The sequence below is a fragment of the Homo sapiens genome, chromosome 4, assembly GCF_000001405.40.
Source record: "Homo sapiens chromosome 4, GRCh38.p14 Primary Assembly".
NCBI classification, from domain to species: domain Eukaryota; kingdom Metazoa; phylum Chordata; class Mammalia; order Primates; family Hominidae; genus Homo; species Homo sapiens.
Window position 1 is genome coordinate 40,416,512 of NC_000004.12, and position 20,648 is coordinate 40,437,159.

The following is a 20,648-nucleotide window of genomic DNA, read 5'->3' on the forward strand; positions in this document are numbered from 1 at the left end:
ACATTTGTTAAATGAATGGGAAGGGGAGAATGTCATCTGTAACTATCTTACAGGATTGTCATGAAGATCAGGGAGATAGAGTTTTAGAAAGGCTTCTGTGGCCAGTGAAATGCTATTCAAGGATTAGCTGATTATCCTTGACTGGCATGTCTTTCCAGCATTTTATATCGTATATCTTTTATTTGAGACACTAGTTGTTAAAATTATTCATTGAACTGTCCAGAGGGTCTAATTATTTGGCCCCTCGGCAACTCAGAAGGCTTGGGCTAGCCTCCCTAGATTGGGCTGCTTTTGTGGTACAGTGTCCTGGAGCTGGTGGAGAACCTCCTGACTCTTGAAGTTATTCTCTTTATTTGACTGGCTATGGCCTTAACTTCCAAAGTTAGGGCTTTCTTCCTTAGCTTCGTTGACAAGGGATTTGTTCAATGAAAACCACATAACTCAGGAGGCCAGGCACAGTGTCTCATGCCTGTAATCCCAGCACTTTGGTAGGATGAGATGGGAGGATCGCTTGAGCACAGGAATTCGAGACCATCTTGAGCAACATGGCGAAACCCCATCTCTACAAAAAATACAAAAAATTAGCTGGATGTGGTGGCACATGCCTGTAGTGCCAGCTACTCAGGAGGCTGAGGTGGAAAGATCACCTGAGCCTGGGAAATCGAGGCTGCAGTGAGCAGGGATTGCGCCACTGCACTCCAGCCCGGGTGACAGAGCAAGACCCTGTCTCAAAACAAACAAACAAAAGACAAAAAGCCCCACATAACTCACCTCCTTGGGAATGAATTTGTTTATTTCTTCCCTTTCTGAGAGCAACATTTGATAAAAGACATGCTAGAATGTAAGAGGCTTGGAGGCCACCAGGAAAAAAAAATGTAGAAAGGTGACCCTATAAGACCTTCAGACTCCAGAAAGTTTTGCATCTATATTCTGCAATGTGTGTAATTTTTAAACTTTCCTTTCCACTTGCTCCAATGTCCTTTAAGATAAAGTGACTCTATTAGGAGATCGGTGTGACTTCTAGAACAAACAAATGACTCTACATCCTTACAAAATGGGTGATCTATAATCCCTCCAACCCCAGCCCCAGCTCTAGAGTTAGATATTCCAGGTTCAGATCTACACTGTTTCACTTACCAGCGACGTGGTCTCGGGAGAAGTTATGAAACCTCCTTCTGCCTCCTTGCTTTTTATCTGTAAAATGGGGGTATTAAGAGTAGCAAGCTCAAGTGTGAAAACATGATGCATGCAAAACTAATCTATGCTGTAGATTTGACTGTTTCCCTTGTTGAGGTGGTCACTGGAAAGGGCCATGCAAAACCTTCTGGAATGCTGGTCATGTTACTCCTCTGGATGTTGGTTACATGGATGTGCTCAGTTTGTGAAAATTCATCAAGCTCTCTATGGTATGTACACTACTGTATCTATGTTACTCTTTTAATAAAAAGTTTAAAAAATATCCACGTAAAGTACTTGACCATTGGCATATATGGTAAGTTACTGTCAGCCATTATTCTTATCTCCTGCTGAATGATCATCATCTAAGACTTTAACATTATTCCCAAACACAAGGAAAATGAGGAACCAAAAAAAGACATGCTCGCCGAAGGCAGGCTTGACTGAGCACTCAGTGGCACGGCTGTTTGCACTAAAGCGTTGGGTAATTTCTAAGTAGATTATTTTGGCTGTTGTCTCTTATGCACAAGAGATTCCCTCTATAAATGCTAGAGCACATTTAGAATCAGTTGCATTTCCAGAATTTCTCTCCTTAGGGGAGTGTCTTATTTGGAAAGGGGACATTAGGGGTTTATTGGGAAGCTGAGTCTGCATAGTACTCTATATAAGATTGAGAAAGGGTCAAATGGCCAAATTTGAATGGGGGTGGAGGTGTGAGGGTGGTGAGGTCGACGGAAGTAAAACTATCTCATGGTGCTGTCAGTTTGGAATAAAGGTCGTGAAAAAGGAGCGGAAAAATCCCAGCAAAACCAAACTGGCATGGCCCAGTGTTATCACAATACCATTAAGTGCAAATGTTTTGACCCAGCACACCCCCAGCAAGGTCATCTCAGAAAAAACTGGGCTTCAGTGACATCTCTTAGCTGCCTTAGAATGACTAAGGTTATTTAAACCTCATGGTTGGTTAATCATTAATGAAGATTTTTGACAAACAAAGTAGAACGAGCCAAGAAAGAAGGGTGGCTAAAAATTAGCCTAGGAAAGGTCATATTTCTTGCATATGCAGGGATTAGTGTTGCTTTTGTTTCTGGTAACTGTGCAGAATGGAGTTTCAAGGAAATATGATCCTGTTGGGGAAGCCAATGTGTCTCTGAAGATTTTACTTAGGATTCTCCTCCACTGTATTAGTCCATTCTCATGCTACTAATAGAGACATATGCGTGACTGGGTAATTTATAAAGGAAAGAGATTCAATGGACTCACAGCTCCATATGGCCAGGGAGGCCTCACAATCATGGCAGAAGGTGAAGGAGGAGCAAAGGCATGTCTTACATGGCAGCAGGCAGGGCAGCATGTGCAGGGGAACTGCCTTTTATAAAACCATCAGATCTCATGAGACTTACTATTGTGAGAACAGCACGGGAAAAACCTGCCCCCATGATTCAATTACCTCCCACCAGGTCCCTCCCATGACACATAGGGATTATGGGAGCTACAATTCAAGACGAGATTTGGGTGGGGACACAGCCAAACCATATCATCCACCCTCAGTCATCTGGAGGACTATAGGCCTCCATCACCTTTGCTGAGAAGCCTGCATTCCTGTCCCATGGGGGGTTTACGTAGGAACAGTGGGGACACCCACATGCAGCTGCTGTATGACCCAAGAGGAAAGGGTGAAGGTCCCAGAGGCTGGAACCTGGACCTGCACAAGAAACAGGTGGGCAGCCCTAAAAGCTTTGATTGCTGCTATAAACTCCTGGACAAGCTCAGAGTTGGGAGGCATCCCCCCCTGGGGCCAGGAAGGCAGCAGGAAGGGAGTTTTTCACTAGGGGCAGCTCTAGCTTCAGCAGTGTAGATAAACGCAGGGCTCCACCATTTCCTGAAAGTCCTAAGAAGGAATGAATGATTGAGGGTTCTTTCTCTGTGATTACTGGCTCCCCTAGCTTCCTTGTCATAGGGACCAAATCTCTTCCTCCCACAGTTAACACAGGGCCATGAACCCTATTTAATGTTGAACAGTGCAAAGGTTGGATTTCTTCACACTTTCTCCTCCTTTAAGGCAGCCACCCTGAACTGATTTCATGGACTTGATGATACCGTGTTCTTTCCTCCGGGCCCAGGCATTTCCCGATCCCTTTTCCCCCTACTCATCTGCCTAACTCCTATTCATCTTGTAGATCTCTGGCTCGAGCCTGGGTGTGTGCCCCTTCCATAAAACAGTCTTATCATGCCTGGGAGTTTCCAGAAGGCAGAGGGTCAATTTTGTTGATTTATTTCTCTGGTGAATCCTGCATAGTTGGTACTCCAGCAATGAATGTTTATGGAATAAACAGGTGAATAAAAGAATAAAAAATTTCAGTGAATGAAAGAGTTAAAAAAATCATAAAAGGATTTAAAATGGAAAGGCTTGATAGAATTAACAAAGAGGAATGCAGTCACACTAGAGTTTAAAAAGGAGATGGGAAAGGAAATAACTGTCTATAACTCGTCTCATTTTTTTTTTTTTTTTTTGAGATGGAGTCTCCTTCTGTCACCCAGGCTGGAGTGCGGTGGCACGATCTCAGCTCACAGCAACCCCTGCCTCCTGGGTTCAAGTGATTCTCCTGCCCCAGCCTCCTGAGTAGCTGGGATTACAGGCTCACACCACCATGCCCAGCTAATTTTTTGTATTTTTAGTAGAGACGGGGTTTCACCATGATGGCCAAGCTGGTTTTGAATTCCTGACCTCAAATGATCCACCAGCCTCAGCCTCCCAAAGTGCTAGGATTACAGGCGTGAGCCACCACGCCTGGCCAACTCATCTCATTTTTATAATAACCTTATGAGGTCAGGATTATTATCCCTATTTTACCAGTTAAGAAACTGGTACTGAGAGGTAAGGCATCTTCTTCAAAGTCTCATGACTTGCAAGTAGCAAAGCTGGGGTTTCACCCCTAGGCATTCTGACCACAAACCCAGCCTATTTTAGTAGGCCATGGCACTTGCTCATACAGGTTAGCATTTGGGTAATCACATTTGTCCCCTAAATTTATTGGCATGAAGAGTTAGAAACAGGAATGCTGGGTACTAGTAAGTGAAAAGAGGAGACAGGAGAAAAGGCTGTACCCAGTCCAATAGCTTAGACCTTGGAATTGATGTAAAACATTTTGTGGATGTCCCCTGAGTCTCTTTCTATATTTAAACCTAATCCTCCCTTTGACCTTGGGGGTTCAGAAATGGTGAATGTGTCAAGGAAAAGGTAGGATAAGGTCAGAACATCTGTATCATCCTACCCAGTAGCTGAAGATGGATTTTGTTTTTAGGGTCATGGTGTCAAAACGTTATTTCATCTAAACAGCCATGCCAAAATGTCACACTTCCTATGACTTAAAAAATCAAATCCAAGGCCGGGCGCGGTGGCTCACGCCTGTAATCCCAGCACTTTGGGAGGCTGAGGTGGGCAGATCACGAGGTCAGGAGATCGAGACCATCTTTGCTAACATGGAGAAACCCCGTCCCTACTAAAAATAGAAAAAGTTAGCCGGACGTGGTGACGGGCACTTGTAGTCCCAGCTACTCCGGAGGCTGAGGCAGGAGAATGGTGTGAACCCAGGAGGCGGAGCTTGCAGTGAGCTGAGATCGCGCCACTGCACTCCAGCCTGGGCTACAGAGCCAGACTCCGTCTCAAAAAAAAAAATAAAATAAAAATCAAATCCAAACAAAACAAAACAAAAAACTCAAATACAAAGCCTCAGTGCCCAGAAGGCTTTATAATAAAGAAATCATATAAAAATTGAATATACAAGAAAAATCAGGTTATGTTTTCTAACTCTTCTTTCAATTAAGTTCTTTGCATGTTGTCATGACAGACATTTTTGGAATCAAAAAAATGGGGCATTTAGAACCTGGGACAAGGAGTCTTGAGTGTAGACTTTTTTTTTTTTTTTTTTTTTTTTTTAAGACAAGGTCTCACTCTGTCACCCAGGCTGGAGTGCAGTGGCATGATATTGGCTCACTGCAACCACTGCCCTCCTGGGTTCAACTGATTCTCCTGCCTCAGCCTCCTGAGTAGCTGGGACTACAGGTGCCACCACCATGCCCAGCTAATTTTTATATTTTTGGTAGAGATGGGGTTTCACCATGTTGGTCTTGAACTCCTGACCTCAAGTGATCCACCTGCCTTGGCCTCTTAAAATGCTGGGATTACAGGCGGCAGCCACTGCGCTTGGCCTTGAGTATAGATTTGAGTCCTATTACCAGCTGTGTGATCTTGACCAGTCACATATCTTTATCTGTCCTGCCTGTTTCGCTGAGTTCTTGACAGGTCCATCTGAGGTTATGGAAGCCTAACAGCCCAGTGAATCACATGATCATAGTCATTCTCCTCATGTGACACGCTATTGGCCTCCTCATTTTGATTGTTAATTCTTTTTCTAAAGAGATCAGTCTAACCTGAATGTGATCCTGCAACTTGAAGACCTTTTGTACTTATTTGCTAGAACAAGAAGATCAGCAGCTCTTGTTGCTCCTAAAAACACTGCCTAATAAGCTGTCATCTTGGGAAGTTTCCCAGTCTGTTCAGCCTCTAAAAAGGCCTTTATCCATTTAAGAGGAAGCAGGAAGTTAGAATTCCAAGAAATGCAGGTTGGGAGGCCACAGTCCAGGTTCAAATCTAAGAAGGTAAAATTCTTAATCACTGGCAAATCCAAGTGGAACTTTATTCTATTGACAATCCACCACCTTCCCTCCTGTCATCTGATTGGCTTTGATGATAGATACTGTCTGAAGTTAGTGATGATCTCTAGAGAAAAGGAAAGTGTCCTGTTAACCTTGCTATGCACGGTGAAAAGGAGAAACGAGAAGGTTTTGGTTTCAAATGCAATGACCAACATCAAGGTCATCCCAGCACTTTCATGAGACCATCAGAAAACTCAATGTACATCAACTCTCTCCATTTAAAATTCTGCGTGTAAAGCCTTTGGGATTATAAATAAACTTTGGCACTGAGGGTGGTGACAGGCTTTGTCACATCCTATTCCAATCCAGATTTGAGTATTATTTGAGTGTTCAATCTCCTACCACTTGAGCCAAAGTTTGAGGATACTCATAATTCACAATTCAGCTATGTAACCCATCTTTTTTTTTTTTAAGATGGAGTTTTGCTGTTGTTGCCCAGGCTGGAGTGCAAAGGCATGATCTCGACTCACTGTAACCTCCGCCTCCTGGGTTCAAGGAATTCTCCTACCTCAGCCTCCCACGTAGCTGGGACTACAGGCACCCACCACTATGCCTGGCTAATTTTGTTTGTATTTTTAGTAGAGATGAGGTTTCACCATGTTGGCCAGATGGTCTCGAACTCCTGACCTCAGGTGATCTGTCCGCCTTGGCCTCCCAAAGCGCTGGGATTAGAGGAGTGAGCCACCGCACCTGGCCGATGTAACCCATCTTCAATGGTAGTCCCAAGACAAACACATGACCGTTAACTTGCTGATTTCTCCAACGGAAAATATCGAATTAGCCAATCCTTTCTATGCTGTAAGGGTTTTCCTAATTTTTTTAGAAAAAATAAATCAGTATAAAGAAAACACAATTTAAAATAAGGTCTTGCGATTGCTTTAAAGAAAGCTTTATTTACTACATACATCCTAAGAATGTACTGTAAATGGAGCAAGATCTAAATAAAAGCTTTTCAAATATAAAGCAGCTAAAGTTAACTAAACCACTAGCAATGTTTGAAAACAGAACTCTAAAACTTTTTTTTTACATTTATATAGTTTGTTCTTAACACTAAAAAAAAAAAAAGTTCACATTTCAAGTTATAAACTTACCTCAGTAGTGTACATGAAATGGTTTTGAAACAATAGGAACAGATAAGTCCCAGATAGGAGGCTCACTGATACTTAATTGGCCATGTCACCAATGTTTGTTTTTAAGGGAGTTTGGTGGTTGCCATGTTATCATTTTTTTTTATTCTTTCTTTCTTTTTCTTTCTTTCTTTCTTTCTTTCTTTCTTTCTTTCTTTCTTTCTTTCTTTCTTTCTTTCTTTTCTTTCTTTTCTTTCTTCCTCTTCTTCTTCTTTTTTGCAAATAATTTACAGGCATATGTAAAATACAGTAAGAATACTGGGTCATAGTTTCATCCAGTGAAACTCTGTGACAATCCTTCACTAGAAGGAGAGTACTTTTTTCACACAGTCAGGGGATGAGGATCTGATCCGAATTACATTTTGTCGAGTCACTCATTCCCACAGATTTGAGTTTGAATGCAGCTTGTGGGGTACATCATCAGGAACATTGCACAATTATTTTATGTCATTTAAAAGAATGATGGAAAGGAATGTTAGCGGTGCTTAAAGGCCTCAGTAGGCACTCAATAATTTTATAGAATAGTTAAATAAATATTGCTTACACATAAAAACTCATCTCATTTCAAGATGAGGGGGAAAAAGGCATTTGGGAATCTCTTAATTTAAAACAAAACAAAAGTACTTGCTAAGGGCATGATCCTCTTATGAATCCACAAGAATTCAGCCATCAACAAAAATCCCGTGAGTGGAAAATTGTATGGATCTCTAACATGACATAAAAACGCAACTGCGTTTTACTTGCTACCTTATTGCACACCTCACTTCCTTGATTGAGCCTTTAAAAAACAATTCCAAGTTGATATTTTTTTTTAAAAAGTAGATGACAATCTTAACATTTTACTGTATTTTACATTCACTCTGCTAAACAAAAGCCTTTAAACAGGCACAAAACACTGCAACAATACATTAACTTCCTAATAAAACAAACCTTTTTAATAACATTGAAATAAAATGGTTTCATTTTGCATTAAACTACATACCATGAACTTCTCCAACATAAAAGGACTAAAAACAAGCATTAGAAGATATTTACAAACTATCTTTAAACTTCTACAGGTCTCTCCTCCTCCTCCTGGATGTGCACACCCCAATCCAGTTCACCCATCAAGTGCACAGCAAAGGAAGAGAGGCCCATTTAATAAACATAATGTTTCCAACACCCTTGAGGACCATGGACAGTTTTGCAAGAAACATGGTAAGGCAACTAGAAGCATAACTTTCTGCTGAAAAGAGTCTCTGGGGGTCTTGTCTACGATAACATACATTCTTTGTCCCTACAAACTCATACTTCAAAAATGAATAAAAGCATTAGAAATGGCATTAAAGTTTTACATTGGGCAATTAAATAGCTATGCAAAGGTGTCTTATGCAACTCGATTAAAACCTTGTGCTTACTCTGCTACTGAAAATAGCACACGTAGAAGACAATACTTCCCCAACCAAACAAAAAAAAAAACAAAAAACAACGAAACAACAAACCCCAACAAAAACCCAGGAAGAAGTATAAAAGCCACCAGCTCCTCTATCAGAGCTACTTATCAGTCCTAGGCTTGCCAAACATTGCGGTGGGATTGGGAATCTGGGGAGGAGGGGACAGGGTGAGAGATGTGGGAGTGGGGGCATGTTTAAGGCTAAGGCACATGGAGAATGAGCCCCGGCTAACGGTGGCAAAGGAGAGCTTTCCAGTGTTTGGACTCAGAAGTGCGGCAAGTCTTTTCAATGTTGGCTTAAGGAGAGATCCAGTGTTTAATTTCTTTTAAAAAATAGTACCGCCATGATGATACATGGTAACACCATCAACCCTTAATGCCAGCAGAAATACAGAGGTTTTACTCATTTTAAAATTGCACTTTCCAGTATAACCTTTAAAATAATGCTTTATGTAGTATTTTTAAGCACTACTGTTTGTATCTTTAAATATTGTATATATTTTTCAAAATAGTTCCCTAGCTCCTCAAGTGTGCTTTTTTAATATATAGTTGATATATTATTGAAGGTACTACAAAATAGAAATCTCTGGAGTGCAGAAGTTAAGAAAATAACCTTCATACTGAAAATATATCCTTAAAAAAACAACAACAAAAACCTCTATACAAATGTAGTACAGCATACAAATTTTTAAAAGATGGAATGAAGGCACGAACCATTGCAAGTCTTTTGGAAATGTATGAACGTAGGCATGCTAAGTTGAAAATAGTCTTAAAAAACTAGTGAAAACTTCATGTATATAAAATAATTCAGAAATAAATCTGCTAACATTCTTCACTTTCAGGTTGCATGTGTGAATCCAACATGTTCCTTCTTCATAAATAGTCAAGCGTTCCTTCAGTGGTGTTTGTGTGGTCTGTCTTCGTGCTGGTCACCAGCCTCAGTATGTCTGGTAGACGTCGGGGATGGGGACCTGAATGGCAGCAGCAGGGAAGGCCTGAGGTATGTAGCCTGCGTATCCTCCATACATGGCGGCCGCGGCTGCCGCGTTCTTCTGTAGTGTGGCGATCGTGGCTGTAGCTGGAGCAGCAAATGGCACGTAACTGGCCCCGTAGATCCCGGCAGTAGGAATTCTCTGAACGTTTGGAGCCACCGTGTATACTGGAGTTATTGGGCGGCCCTGAGGAGAAGAGACAAAAAGGAGCCTTCCTGAACACGTGTATGTACCTATCATCCATTCATTCAACAAGCCTCTCCCAGAAGACGGGAATACAAAGACACAAAAGCAAGGGAGAGAAAGGCAGAGGGGCGGGCAAACAGCAATTATTGTAAGCAAGTGGGAGAAGAGCCACTGAAGAGGTAAGGTGGAGCTGCATCCTCAAACTCAGTGATGCCACCTTGTGAAAGTGAGAGGCCTGGAAGGCTGAGGGAAAGGTGAAATACAGTTGCCCCTCAGTATCCTCACAGGTGATTGGCTCTAGGACCTCCGTGGATACCAAAATCCTCAGATGCTCGAGTCCCTGAGAGAAAATGGCGTATTTGCATTTAACCTATGCACATCCTCCTGTATACTGTAAAAAAATTTTTTTTCATAGAGACAAGGTCTCACTATGTTGCCCAGGGCTGGTCTTGAACTCCTGGCCTCAAGCAATCCTCCTGTCTCAGCCTCCCAAAGTCTTGGGACCCATACACTTTAAAAATAATCTCTAGATCACTTATAATACCTAATATGATGCAAATGTTATGTAAATAGTTGTTATATCGTATTTTGACATTTGTATTTTTTTATTGTTGTATTGTTATTTTTTATTGTCTTTATTCAAGCCACGGTTGGTTGAATCCAGATGCAGAAACTGCGGATAAGGAGGACCTTCTCTGTACTGTATTCCGGAATCTTCTACTTACCATTCCACTCAATCAGTCTATGCCCCAGAGTGAGCTAGAGAAGGCAGCGGAGAATCTACCATCCACACAATTGATTTCACAGTAATTAAAAATCAGTGTTTTTCCTTAAACATGGCCTCTAGATACATGCCAGCTGCCTCAACTCATACTTAACTGATGGAATATGATCTGTCTCAGAGACAGAGAGAGGAACAGACTGTGTCAACTTAGAGAAACCAAATATACTGATCTCCAAAGGGACAGCTTCTTAAGCTGTGACCTTAAAAAATTGTGACCATACACAATTTTCAGCCAATGTGATGGTTTCCATCACCTCCCACCTAAGAGATGACACCATTAATGTATACAAATTGTTGTAGAAGCTTAGAGAAAGAACCAACTAATGGGGAAGTTGGAGAAAATGTCTCAGCAGCGGGGATATTCGAGCTGAGTTTTGAAGGATAAAGAGCAGTTTCCAAATGAGGAAGAAGTGGGCAAGGACAAGCTAAGTAAAGTTGCCTGAACTGTTGACGGCCACCACTGGCTCTAGAAAAGCCCCTGCTACTTCCTTCTGTCTACTTGAAAGTGCAACATAAGATGTTTTCAGAACAAACAGGAGTATGAATGGGAAGACTGTGGTTCAGTATTTCCCAAAGTGTTTGCCATGGAACTAGTTCTGTGAGATGCTTCATTGAAAAGAGATTCTGAATAAAATAAAACATTCATTTAACAAAATATTTGGTGCACCTCATGAGCCATAGAATGCCTGGTAGTAAATGCTGGTATGGTCTCCCTATATGTTAATACATCTTCAAAATAAACAATTCAGCATATGTGAAATGGTGAATTAAAATAATTATTTCTTCCTGGATTTTTATAAAGGAATTAGCTCTAATTTCTGTTACAAAATTTGCAAATCAGAGTTCCAAAATTGTGCTCAAAGGAACTTAGGAACTTCTAGCCTAAGATTACTTTTTAAAACTATAATCAAATAGTAATTATAATTTATAATAATTTTAATTTATAATTATAATGATAATTATAACAATTAATAACTCAGAGGCTGGGTGAGGTGGCTCATGCCTGTAATCCTAGCACTTTGGGAGGTTGAGGTAGGAGGATGGCTTGAGGCCAGGAGTTCGAGACCAGCCTGGGCAACATGGCGAAACCTTGTCTCTGCAAAAGATACAAAACTTAGCCAGCCATGGCGGTGCGTACTCCTGTAGTTCCAGCTACTCAAGAGGCTGAGGTGCAAGGATCACCTGAGCCTGGGAATTCAAAGCTGCAGTGAGCTGGGATCATACCACTGCACTCCAGCCTGGGCAATGGAAGTGAGACCTTGTCTCAAACAAAACAAAACAAAACAAAACAAAACAAAACAAAACAAACCCCCAAACTCAGGCACTATTCTAAGTGCCTTATTTGTATGACAGTATTGAATCATCACAGCCACCAGTAGAGTTGGTACTATGATTATATGGAGTTGTGTGGAAGTGTTAAATGACCTGCACAAAGTGACACAGCTTTTAAGCAATGCAATGTGTGACTCTGGAGCCTGCACTTTTAGCCTTACGTTAACTTGCTTCTTACAACCCTAAACAATGAGTGTCTCATCAGTGACATTTTACAACCAGGGAGAGGAGCTCCAGAACTGGAAAGACTGTGGTTCACAGCAAGACACAAGTCACCTTTTCCACATGTGTGGACGTAGGTTTAATAACCAGTGCAAAAAGGGAGAGGAAATGGCAGGGAAGGCAACATGTGAGAGAGACCTTTCCATGTGCTACAGGACGGCCCAACACCTGGGTTCAGGCTGCCCACTCCAACACCAAGTTTTGCACATAGACATGCACTGGCTTACGGCCTGGAATCAAGAGTAGGTCCCCAAACCCATGGCTTCTCTTTTCATTCATGTGATGTCCCTTTTATGATAGCATTCACCACACTATAAGGACAAAGCATGCAGAGATCAGGCATCTGATCTCCCAATCCCAATTCTACTCCCGGCCAGCAATTCTGTCTCCTTGCTGGGCCTTAATTTTCTTATCTGTAAAATGAGAATATATGGGGAAGCACTTGGTTTTGCTTTCCATGGTTTCAGTTACCCGCGGTCAACTGAAGTCTGAAAATATTAAACTGAAAATTTCAGAAATGAATAACTCATAAGTTTTAAATTGTGCACCCTTCTGAGTAGCTCCATGAAATCTCATGTCATCCCTCTCCATCCTGCCCGGGACACCAATCATCCCTTTGTCCAGGAAAACGACACTGTCTGTGCTCCATGCCCATGTCACTTAATAGCCATCTGGGTTATCAGATTGACCGTCAAGGAACCCTTATTTTACTTAATATCAGCCCCAAAGTGCAAGAGTAGTAATGCTGGCAATTTGGATATGCCAACGAGGAGCACTAAAGGCCTTCCTGTAAATGAAAAGGGGAAAGTTCTCTACTTAATAAGGAAAGAAAAAAAATCCTATGCTGAGGTTGCTAAGAACTACAGTAAGAAAGAAATTTTCTATCTGTGAAATTGTGAAGAAGGAAAAAAAAATTCGTTCATAGTATATTATTAGTTTGGTAATATCTGTGTTTCAGGCATCCACTGGGGGTCTTGGAATGTATCCCCCAAGGATAAGGGGGGACCAGTATACAATTGCATTAATACAGCATCATCAAAGAGCAGGAATAAAGAAAAATGCAATGATGGTAGTGGGAGAAACATTTACCCATCCCTAAAAAGTGCCTCTAGCAGGAGAATCGCTTGAACCCTGGAAGCGGAAGTTGCAGTGAGCTGAGATCCCGCCACTGCACTCCAGCTTGGGTGACAAAGTGAGACTCCATCTCAAAAAAAAAAAAAAAAAAAAAAAAAAAAAGTGCCTCTAATTCAGGTGAAGAGTCCCTGCAGTCTTCCCTCCTGTCAAGGAGGAGCAGTTATCCTTGCTCTAACTATACCAAGAGGTGTTGTTAAATTGGCTAAATAGGAACACCCCTGAGCGCCTACAAGGTAGGGGAGGATGATCGAAGGTAGGGGAGGATAAGCAAAGACTGCAAATAAGAACCCTGATGGTGGCCGGGCGCGGTGGCTCACGCCTGTAATCCCAGCACTTTGGGAGGCTGAGGAGGGCGGATCATGAAGTCAGGAGATCAAGACCATCCTGGCTAACAGGTGAAACCCCGTCTCCACTAAAAAAATACAAAAAATTAGCCAGGCATGGTGGCACGTGCCTGTAGTCCTAGCTACTCAGGAGGCTGAGGCCGGAGAATCGCCTGAACCTGGGAGGCGGAGGTTGCAGTAAGCCGAGATCACGCCACTACACTCCAGCCTGGGCGACAGAGCGAGACACCGTCGCAAAAAACAAACAAACAAACAAACAAACAAACAAACAAAAAAAGACAAAAACAAACAAAAAAAAAACCCTGATGGCAACAGCCAGTGCGGACTGATAGGAGACAGAAATAGTCAGGACATGATTATGGTGCCTGGAATTTGGACCTGACCAGAACTCACAGTGCACATGAAAGACAAGTGTTCATGAATTTCTTACTAAAGGAGAATTAGAAATTATTATCAGAATTCCACTAAGTACTGCTGCTACGCTATAGTAAATATTTACCGTCAGTCCACAAGTATTATAACTATACTTAGTTGTTATTCTACAGTGTCATTTACAACCAATTCCTCTTTTTGTCTTTCAGAGATCCCAAGTTAAAGAATACTTAATGACATACTGAAAGATAAATAAGCTTCAATTAGTCTGCCCTTTCTGAATAATGCAGTCAAGACTAGTGTTCAGAGTGGGCAAAAGCAAGTAAACAGCATCCTACTGTGGAGGGTCACAGGCCTGGCTCTGTTTCAGAATCATTGAGGAGCTGTGCAAAATATCAATTCTAGGACTCCAGCCCAGTTTGACCGAATTGGAATCTTCAGGGATTAGAGTCTAAGAATCTCTGTTTTTTAAAAAATGTAGGCAACGGCTCATGCCTGTAATCCCAGCACTTGGGGAGCTTGAGGTGGGAGGATCGCTTGAGCCCAGGAGTTCAATACCAGCTTGGGCAACATAGCAAGACTTTGTCCCTACAAATAAAAAAGTTAGCCGGGCATGGTGGTGCGTGTTTGTGGTCCCAACTACTTGGGAGGCTGAGGTGGGAGGATTGCTTGAACCAGGGAGGTTGAGGTTGCAGTGAGCCATGCACTCCAGCCTGGGTGACAGAGTGAGACTGTCTCAAAAAAATCAAAAATCAAAAATCAAAAAAAGTGGCCTGGATAATTCTTTTTCAATTGGATAAGGGATCCTGGGCCTGAGTACTTGTGATCGGTATTCATGATTCACTGCCTCACAGAAAACAGCTTTAACAAGATTTTCTTCTGTTAAATGGATGTCCTCCCTATGTCCTATAAGGTGAAGATACAAAGAAACAGGACACAGTCTTTGGTCTGTAGGAGCTTCATTTTCCTTGGGAGATAGAACACACTGGCAGCCATAGGCCAAGTAATGATGTAGTAATCAGGAGTACAAGAGAGAAAATTTCATGGCCGGGCGCGGTGGCTCACGCCTGTAATCCCAGCACTTTGGGAGGCCAAGGTGGGCGGATCACGAGGTCAGGAGATTGAGACTATCCTGGCTGACACGGTGAAACCCCGTCTCTACTAAAAATACAAAAAATTAGCCGGGCATGGTGGCGTGCGCCTGTAGTCCCAGCTACTCGGGAGGCTGAGGCAGGAGAATGGCGTGAACCTGGGAGGCGGAGCTTGCAGTGAGCCGAGATGGCGCCACTGCGCTCCAGCCTGGGCGACAGAGCGAGACTCCGTCTAAAAAAAAAAAAAAAAGAGAGAGAAAATTTATCTAGGAGGTGGATGGGAAAGATTCTATGGAAGAGATGAGAATAAAGAAACCAGGATACACTATGAAAAAGGTGGGGAAGGAGGCCAACATGGTAAGATGAGTTTGGGAAGAGATAGGGGAACAGTGGGAGATATGGTTGGAAGAGAGGATTATGGGCATATTTTGTAAATTTATTTTTGAGACAGGGTCTCACTCTGTTGCCCAGGCTGGAGTGCAGTAGTGCAATCACAGATCACTGCAGCCTTGACCTCAAGGCTGGTCAAGTGGTCCTCCTGCCTCAGCCTCCCCAGTAGCTGGGACTACAGGCATATGCCACCATGCCAGGCTAATTTAAAAAAAAAAAATTGTAGAGACAGTGTCTCACCATGTTGCCCAGGCTGGTCCTGAACTCCTGGCCTCAAGTGATCCTCCCATCTTGGCCTCCCTATGTGCTGGGATTACAGGCATGAGCCACTGTACCCAGCACAAAATTTTACGTATCTATACAGATGTTCTTTCTCTCTCTCTCTCTCTTTACACACACACACACACACACACACACACACACACACACACGGGGGTTAACATTTTTTTAAAAAATCTTCATTGAGCTGCAGTTTGAAATGTGAAAATGTGAAATCACTCCCTGGACTTTGTGTGTCAGCTCTTTAACAATATGAGCTAAAAATTATCCAGTGCTATTTTAAAAAAATATATGCACAATATTATGACACTGTGAAAAATTACACATAATTTTTGCATATTGATTACCACCCTTAATACAATGATATTATTAGGGTAGTACAATTAATTAAAAATTTTTTTTTCTGTCATGCTTCAAATTCAAAATGCTTTGTGTCACCCAACCATAGCTGTAACAGAGAGCCAGGCACACAGTAAATTCTCAGTGCTGAATACTAAATGAATCCATGTTAAAGAGAGGCTTCACACACAAATGACAATGCCTGCAATAAGAACTCTACCTGGAAAGGTGGTGGCGTCGACACAGTGGGAATGACAGCGGCTGCGGCGGCTGCGGCCGCGGCTGCGGCGGCAGCAGCACTGGCTGGGTCTGGCTGCACAGCAATGGGGCTGATCATGTGCTCCACTGTGTGGATTTTGCCATCTTCAATCATTTTAGGGGCTGGAGCTGCTGGAAACATGGAATACTGAGCCCCAATGGCAGGGATGGCTACTGCAAGAGAAGCAAGAAGGAAAAACAGGTCAATCACTTTCAGTCGCTGAGTGGGGTCCAGCACTTGCTCTAAGATATTTTTTATTTTTATTTTTTTAAAAACTTTTCTTTTTTTTGAGACAGGGTCTCACTCTGTGGCCCAGGCTGGAATGCAGTGGTGCGATCAAGGCTCACTGCAGCCTCAATCTCTTGGCCTCAAGAGATCCTCCCACCTCAGCCTCCTGAGTAGCTGGGACTACAGGTACAGGCCACCTTGCCCAGCTTTTTGTTTTTGCTGTTGTAGAGACAGGGTTTCGCCACGTTGCCCAGGCTGGTCTTGAACTCCTGAGCTCAAGCGATCCAACTGCCTTGGCCTCCCAAAGTGCTGGGATTACAGGTGTGAGCCACCGCGCCCAGCCTAAGATATTTTTTAAAACCACGTTTAGAGGTCCTGGGCCTCTCCATGCTCACTATTGTTCTCTCAGTACAAGCCATGTACCCAGATGCCTGCTCCCTAGAGGAAGGGATGGGTGGTGGCAGGTAACTCCCCCTGCCTGTTGTGGAAGAGACCCCTAGAGTAAGGCTTTTGCACCAATATTTTCTACTATTTCTACAGAAAAATCACAGTTTGAATGTTATTCTTGATGTCCTACTGAGCAAGAAAGGGCCTCTGACTATGGGAAAACAGGCTTAGACGAAGAAGTGAGATCAGAGGCTTGAAGCCTACTGCCTGTGAGAGTTGGGCCTGCCTGTTCCTTCCTACTCACCTCACTCATTACCAGCCGCACTGCCTTTTTTTCACTTTCACCACTATTTAAGAAACAGGTGCTGTTGAGGGTTTCATTCTGAGAACTCAGACCTGTGTACATCCTCCCCACCCTGTATTTCAGATTTCAACATTACCGATTCAAGGAAAAACACATGGTAAAAAAAAATAGCACATTCCCCAGTTTCCTCATGCCCACGCAAAGTAGTGAAGATGTGGAGTGATTGGCTTTTAGTGGGACCTCCCAATTCAAAGAATTTCTGCAAGTAAAGTCCAAAATTATGATTTCAACCAGAGATTCAAACAGCAGCTATTGAATGTCAAGGTACAGTAAGAAGAGATCAAAAGGAAAAGATATCAGCCCTTTTGTGTGAGTGTGTGTGTGTGGGGCGGGGGTGTGTGTGTGTGTGTGTGTGTGTGTGTGTGTGTGTGTTGAAAGGACAAACAAAAATATGAAATGTGTACACAAAGAATCTTTCTATTTCTGGTTTTCTCCAACTGTAGGTACATTTATTCTAAATAGGACAGACTCAATCAAAGGTAAAGAGACAAATGATTGTAAGCTAAACAATGGTACAGCCATTCGATAAAATATACCTAAAACCTTAATCAAATCTTTTACCTGCCTTTCCAACCATATCTTCCACTGGTCTTGTGCCCAGATACTTCACCACCACCCTGGTGCCTCTCCTAAAATACAATGTTCTCATTTTCTGGATGATCAGAAATAGACGCCAATCGATGGGGCCCAGAGAGGGTTGTGAGTTTAAGCTACAAGGGGTTGTATGAAGTAAATGAATTGTTCTGGCTATCAGCCCACAGGAATTTCTACCTCAGGCTCCAGGACACAACTTTACATAGTTAAAGATTATTTAACAGTTCTTTTCTCTTGTTAAACCTTAAGCTACCGTAACTTGCCAAAGGGAGTTCCCTTCTCAACAAGTAGAAGCGACGACTCCCATATCCAGGCTCTATTTTATTAAGTTACAGAGCTGTGGGATCAGTTTTACTTTGCCCACAGTGCCAATGACATTTAAAAGGCAATCTAGTCTAAGGAGTCACTTAACTGCAGAAATTGCAGAATTTTTACACAGGCAAAAAAAAAAAAAAAAAAAAAAAAATCATTACTAGAATCATCAAAAGAAAGTTCAATTGGGGAAATGCTTTTTAACTCTATGAGGCCAATGTGTACCTATGTCCCAAATGCACAGATTCCTTGACTCTATTTTAGCTAGGGAGAGAAGTGTACAATCTCAACCAGAAGAAAATCAGAGTAGCTGGGCTCCAAACAGTTCTTCAACTTCCTCCTGCTGAAGCCAGGAGGGGTCTGGAGGAGGGTCGTGCCAATTACCCACGGACTGAGCTTTCCATGTGTTTGGATGCTTCTGCAGGGTGCTACGTGAGTTTGTGATAGACTCACACAATGGAGTTAATGTTTTTTGCAGGTTCGGATCAGAAGACCGGCCTCACATTAGATGGTCATGGGCACTAATGACATTAATAAACAGGTTTGTAGGGCCTGGAGGTGAAGGCTAAGTTCAGGGTCCCTGGCTTGAAATACTTGAGCATCCCTACTCCCAATCTACTGATCCAACTAGAGGAGGAAATGAGTGCTGGAAATGAGAAACCAGGGAATTAGCTGCAAAAATTTTCAGCAAAGGCCAGGTGCAGTGGCTCATGCCTGTAATCCCAGCACTTTGGGAGGCTCAGGCGGGTGGCTCACTTGAGGTCAGGAGTTCGAGAACAGCCTGGGCAATGTGGTGAAACCCCATCTCTACTAAATATACAAAAATTAGCCAGGCATGGTGGTGCGCGCCTGTAGTTCCAGCTACTCGGGAGGTTGAGGCAGGAGAATCGCTTAACCCGGGAGGTGGAGGTTGCAGTGTGCCGAGATCATGCCACTGCACTCCAGCCCGGGTGACACAGCAAGACTCCATCTCAAACAACAACAAAACTTTCACCACTGCCTTGTCCTCAAGCATTCTTATTTGCTCAGACCATGACAAGGGACAAAAGGTGCTGCTTACTCCTGAAGGGGAATTTTCTGCCCTTCCAAACAACTCTCAGAATGGGGCAATAAGCTCTACCCTCCGACTTCAGATGGTCGGGGCAGAAATAGGCCTGAGTAAGGAAAAGACAGGTTTTACCTGATAGAAGATACAGAGAGCCTCATGTTCTTCCTTTCTTCCCCCTACAACTCTCCTTACTTAGCCACAGACTGAGACAAAACCTAACAATGGGTGACAGCCCTTTGAAAACCTTACTGCATGGCCAGGCGCAGTGGCTCACTCCTCTAATCCCAGCACTTTGGGAGGCCGAGACGGGTGGATCATAAGGTCAGGAGATCGAGACCATCCTGGCTAACACGGTGAAACCCCATCTCTACTAAAAATACAAAAAAAAAAAAAAAAAAAATTAGCCGGGCATGGTGGTGGGCACCTGTAGTCCCAGCTATTCTGGAGGCTGAGATAGGAGAATGGTGTGCACCCAGGAGGCAGAGCTTGCAGTGAGCCAAGATCATGCCACTGCACTCCAGCCTGGGCGACAGAGCGAGACTCTGTCTCAAAAAAAAAAAAAAACAAACAAACAAACAAACAAAAAAAAACCTTACTCAGGCAAGTTTGATTTGAACATAGTCAAAGCTACACCATCCCCTGAAGTTCTAGATAAGGAGGTCCAGGGGGTCACTTTATTTTTGCCTTGTCTCTAGCTGCCTAGGAGAAGAGGAACCCCTGTGCAGATGTGAGAGCCTGAAAAACGCTTGGATTCACTTCAAACAGAAGGGCTGGGGTTTATGCTGAATGGGAGCATTCTCAATCTGCTTCATACTGACCTGTACCAGGTTTAATGGCAACTGGGTTGACGGTAGGGATTTCCAAATTCGGCACCAGTTCATATCCTTTTTCTTGCTGCTTTCCTTTCCCTTCATGATATCGGCTATATATACCACGACCAGCAGAATATCCCCCGAGGTAGGAACCCCTAGGCCCTGGGGCTCTGTTGCCAGCTGCACCTCGCCCTCGGCCTCTTATGCTGCCTGCTTGTAATAACAACACAAAAGATGATCAGCAACCAACAGTGACGGTGCTGGAGGCAGACCTCAGCCCTCGGTTCTCGGCATTTAACTGCCCCAGTCTTAATTGCAGGTGGCTACACCTTTGCTCTTTAATAGGCTGGTAAAGATGCTTCCAACATTCTATTTCAGCCTAGATTTGCATCCTAAGCATGTCTTCTTAGTACAAGAGGCAAACTTGCAGGGTGAGTTTCTAGGATTGTATCTGCAATTTCAGTAAAGAAAAACATTCATAGACTACCCACCACCCCCTCCCCCCCGCCAAAAAAAAAACTGTGGCCAGGTGTGGTGTCTTATGCCTGTAATCCCAGCACTTTGGGAGGCTGAGGCGAGAGGATGGCTTGAGCCCAGGGGTTCAAGACCAGCCTGGGGAGCATGGTGAGACCCTGTCTCAAAAAAAAAAAAAAAAAATATATATATATATATATATAAAATACATATATATATATATAAAATACATATATATATATAAAATACAT

General features: G+C 42.9%; 1 protein-coding gene and 1 long non-coding RNA gene across 41 annotated transcripts in view, besides 4 other annotated features; one reads left to right on the top strand and one right to left on the bottom strand.

The window, feature by feature from the left end:
* Positions 2,074 to 2,218: an enhancer, noted in NCBI's record as "145 bp enhancer 253 fragment used in the MPRA reporter construct; PK_construct_148". NCBI's record gives its function as "activates an SV40 promoter by MPRA in HepG2 cells {active_cell/tissue: HepG2}" and the evidence as "EXISTENCE:reporter gene assay evidence [ECO:0000049][PMID:23512712]".
* Positions 2,139 to 2,152: a transcriptional cis regulatory region, noted in NCBI's record as "HNF1 motif; enhancer activity is reduced when this motif is scrambled". NCBI's record gives its function as "necessary for full MPRA enhancer 253 activity {active_cell/tissue: HepG2}" and the evidence as "EXISTENCE:site-directed mutagenesis evidence [ECO:0005528][PMID:23512712]".
* The window catches only part of RBM47 (RNA binding motif protein 47), a 207,573-nt gene continuing 193,693 nt past the window's right edge, over positions 6,769 to 20,648 (bottom strand). For 16 of the 40 annotated variants that reach the window (XM_005248103.5, XM_047415797.1, XM_011513707.3 and 13 more), the window contains 3 exons: positions 19,930 to 20,136; positions 16,140 to 16,351; positions 6,769 to 9,632 (listed from right to left, as the gene is read on the bottom strand). In XM_005248103.5, coding sequence (XP_005248160.1) covers positions 9,393 to 9,632; positions 16,140 to 16,351; positions 19,930 to 20,136 — 659 coding nt within the window. In that variant the 3' untranslated portion in view covers positions 6,769 to 9,392. The remainder of the gene's footprint in view (positions 9,633 to 16,139; positions 16,352 to 19,929; positions 20,137 to 20,648) is intronic. The other 24 variants (XM_017008309.3, XM_047415805.1, XM_047415804.1 and 21 more) reach the window with 2 other exon arrangements.
* Positions 8,911 to 10,110: an enhancer, noted in NCBI's record as "P300/CBP strongly-dependent group 1 enhancer chr4:40427439-40428638 (GRCh37/hg19 assembly coordinates)". NCBI's record gives its function as "activates an origin of replication core promoter dependent on BRD2, BRD4, P300/CBP, MED14 and CDK7 cofactors, with strong dependence on P300/CBP, by STARR-seq in HCT116 cells {active_cell/tissue: HCT116}" and the evidence as "EXISTENCE:reporter gene assay evidence [ECO:0000049][PMID:35650434]".
* RBM47-AS1 (RBM47 antisense RNA 1) lies at positions 9,622 to 11,071 on the top strand. Its single transcript, NR_199039.1, has 2 exons — positions 9,622 to 9,671; positions 10,277 to 11,071. It is a non-coding gene; the product is annotated as an RBM47 antisense RNA 1 (long non-coding RNA).
* Positions 17,208 to 17,477: an enhancer, noted in NCBI's record as "active region_21490". NCBI's record gives its function as "activates an Ori minimal core promoter by ATAC-STARR-seq in GM12878 lymphoblastoid cells {active_cell/tissue: GM12878}" and the evidence as "EXISTENCE:reporter gene assay evidence [ECO:0000049][PMID:35858748]".